The sequence below is a fragment of the Homo sapiens genome, chromosome 7 (assembly GCF_000001405.40).
Source record: "Homo sapiens chromosome 7, GRCh38.p14 Primary Assembly".
NCBI classification, from domain to species: Eukaryota; Metazoa; Chordata; class Mammalia; order Primates; family Hominidae; genus Homo; species Homo sapiens.
Window position 1 is genome coordinate 105,447,934 of NC_000007.14, and position 3,586 is coordinate 105,451,519.

General features: G+C 43.7%; 1 annotated feature.

The window, feature by feature from the left end:
* Positions 236–355: an enhancer, noted in NCBI's record as "active region_26462". NCBI's record gives its function as "activates an Ori minimal core promoter by ATAC-STARR-seq in GM12878 lymphoblastoid cells {active_cell/tissue: GM12878}" and the evidence as "EXISTENCE:reporter gene assay evidence [ECO:0000049][PMID:35858748]".

A 3,586-nucleotide genomic window follows, 5' to 3' on the forward strand; every position in this document is an offset into this window, starting at 1 on the left:
GCCAGGACTTCAGCCTGTGCATTTTGACTCCTGGTTTGACGTCCTTTCCTCTTTATCACAGCAGCCTCCAGTGCTTTATTTACTTTTGGATTTTCACCTTTTGGAGTTATCCACATCATGACTTCCTCCTAATTAATGTGCAGGGGTCCTAAGAAACCAGGATGGCACAGGAAAGAAACAGACTTTAGCTCCACTTTATTAGACAGATATTATTATTAGAAAAAAGGATCAACTAAGACTCTATCATCTTTCCAGCTAATGGAAGGTGGCTAACTCGTTAAGTGGAATGACTCTGTGTCAGCTTGACGAGCAAGTTTTTTGGTAGTGAAACATTTGTCTAGGCCAAAACAGGTAGTAAGATCTTCTATGTTGAAAATTAATTTTGTAAACAGGAAGAGAGAAATGTAGAAAACAGGATGAATGTGGCTAGTAGAGAACAGACGTGGGTGCTGGGCTAAGGAGAGTTATGTTCCCCATTTGCAGCTCTCAGAGGGTGCAGGTGGAGTTGAACTGAGCTGAAACAAAAGCGTTCCCAAGTGCGCCTAAGTGGTTTTTTTTGTTGTTGTTGTTGTTGTTTGTTTGTTTTGAGACGGAGTCTCACTCTGTCGCCTAGGCTGGAGTGCAGTGGCGAGATCTTGGCTTACTGCAACCTCTGCCTCCCGGATTCAAGAAATTCTCGTGCCTCAGCCCAGCAAGTAGCTGGGATTACAGGCGCCCACCACCACGCCCGGCTAATTTTTGTATTTTTAGTAGAGACAGGGTTTCACCATGTTGGCCAGACTGGTCTTCAACTCCTGATCTCAAGTGATCCGTCTGCCTAGGCCTCCCAAAGTGCTGGGATTACAAGTGTGAGCCACCGCTCCTGGCAGTGCCTGACTATTTTCATCCTGTAAAGTTATGGTTGTGAATTCTTGCGCTTAACCCTGAGCCCTCCCAGTCATGAAAATCCATTTTCAGATGGTTACTGTGGACACTGCAGCAATCTAGTTATTATGGACACCATAGGAACTTAGTTTAGAAACAAAATTTCAATAAAGAATAACTCCTACAGCCTTTAAAACCCAACCCTCAGCTGGGCGCAGTGGCTCACGCTTGTAATCCCAGCACTTTGGGAGGCCGAGGCAGGCAGATCACGAGGTCAAGAGATCGAGACCATCCTGGCCAACATGGTGAAATCCCGTCTCTACTAAAAATACAAAAATTAGGTGGGCGTGGTGGCATGTGCCTGTGGTCTCAGCTACTCGGGAGGCTGAGGCAGGAGAATCGCTTGAACCCGGGAGGGGGAGGTTGCAGTGAGCCAAAATCACGCCACTGTACTCCAGCCTGGTGACAGAGCAAGACTTTGTCTCAAAAAACAAAACAAAACAAAAACCCAACCCTCAAGAAAGTAAAGATAGGCCAGGCTCAGTGGCTCAAGCCTGTAATCCCAGCACTCTAGGAGGCCGAGGCAGGCAGATGGCTTGAGCTCAGGAGTTCAAGACCAGCCTGGACAACATGGTGAAACCCCATCTCTACCAAAAATACAAAAATTAGCCTGTAGTGGTGTGTGCCTGTAGTCCCAGCTACTTTTAAGCCTGGGAGGTTGAGGCCTCAGTGATCCGTGATCGTGTTACTACAGACAGCCTGAGCAACAATGAGATCTTGTCTCAAAAGAAAAAAAAAAAAAAAAGAAAGTAGACAACCCATGGAATGGGAGAAAATATTTGCCAATCGTATACCTGGTAAAGGATTTGTGCCTAGAACATACAAAGAACTCTAGATCTCAACAACATAAAGAAAAATAACACCCCCCAAATGGGCAAAAGATCTCAATAGACATTTCTCCAAAGAATAGACAAATGGCCAATAAGCATACAAAAATATTCCACATAGTCATCAGGGAAATGCAAATCAAAACCGTAGTGAGAAACCACTTTATTTTCATTTGTTTAAATTTATTTTTATTTTTGCTTTTGAGATGGAGTCTTGCTCCCTCGCCCAGGCTGGAGTGCAGTGACGCAATCTTGGCTCACTGCAACCTCTGCCTCCTAGGTTCAGCAGTTCTCCTGTCTCAGCCTCCCAAGTAGATGGGATTACAGGTGCCTGCCACCATGTCTGGCTAATTTTTGTATTTTTAGTAGACATGGGGTTTCACCATGTTGGCCAGGCTGGTCTTAAACTCCTGACCTCAAGTGATCTGCCCAACTTGACCTCCTAAAGTGCTGGGATTACAGGCGTGAGCCACCACGTCCAGCAGAGAAACCTCTTTATACCCAAAAGGATGGCTACAATCACAAAGACAGATAACAACAAGTGTTGACGAGGATGTGGAGAAAATAGAACTGTCATACACTCCTAGTGGGAATGTAACATGGTGCAGCTACTTAGGAAAACAGTCTGAGAGTTCTTCAAAGATTAAACACAGTTATATGACACAGAAATTCCACTCCTAGCTTTATACTCAAGAGAAATGGAGACATATGACTGTACAAAAACTCATACCAAAATGTTTATAACAGCATTATTCATAAAAGCCAGAAGGTGGAAACAACCCAAACGTCTATCAATTGATGAACATGAATAAAATGTGGTATATTCATAGATGGAGTATTGTTTGCCTAAATAAGGAATAAAGTACTTTTACGTCACAAACTGGATAAACCTTGAAAACATTATGCTAAGTGAAAGTCAGTCCCGCATATTGTATAATTTCATTTATATCAAATGACTAGAAGAGACCAATCAACAGAGATTGAAAGTAGCAGTTGCCAGGGGCTGGGGCTGAGGTGATAATAGGAAGTCAACGCTAATGCATTTGAAGTTTCTTTTTGAGATTATAAAAAAATGGGCCGGGCACAGTGGCTCACGCCTGTAATCCCAGGGCTTTGGGACATTGAGGCAGGCAGATCACGAGGTCAGGAGTTCAAGACCAGCCTGGCCAATATGGTGAAACCCCTGTCTCTACTAAAAATACAAAAATTAGCTGGCCATGGTGGCACGCACCTGTAGTCCCAGCTACTTGGGAGGCTAAGGCAGGAGAGCCACTTGAACCTGGGAGGCAGAGGTTGTGGTGAGCTGAGATCACGCCACTCCAGCCCGGGCAACAGAGCGAGACTCTGTCTCAAAAAAAAAAGTAAAAATGATTGTGATAATGGTTGCGCAACTCCAAATATACCAAAATCCTTTGTACACTTAAATGAGTGAATTGTATGGTATGTAAATTATACCTCAATAAAGCTATCATTAATAAAAGCCAAAACAAAACCTCAGCCCTGCCTAATCACCTTGCCATCCTGTACAACCTGAGTTCTTAGCTTCATGTGCTGTTTTCACAAATTTTTTTTTACTTCTGACTCTATCCTTATTCTCATCTCCCAAACCTCAATTTATATTCCATGAACATGGAATTTAAAATCTAAATAGAAGGCTGGGCACAGTGGCTCATGCCTGTAATCCTAGCTACTTGGGAGGCTGAGGCACAAGAATTGCTTGAACCCGGGAGGCGGAGGTTGCAGTGAGCCGAGATCACACCACTGCACTCCAGCCTGGGCAACAGAGCGAGAACCTGTCTCAAAAATAAATAAATAAAAAATAAAATAAAATCTAA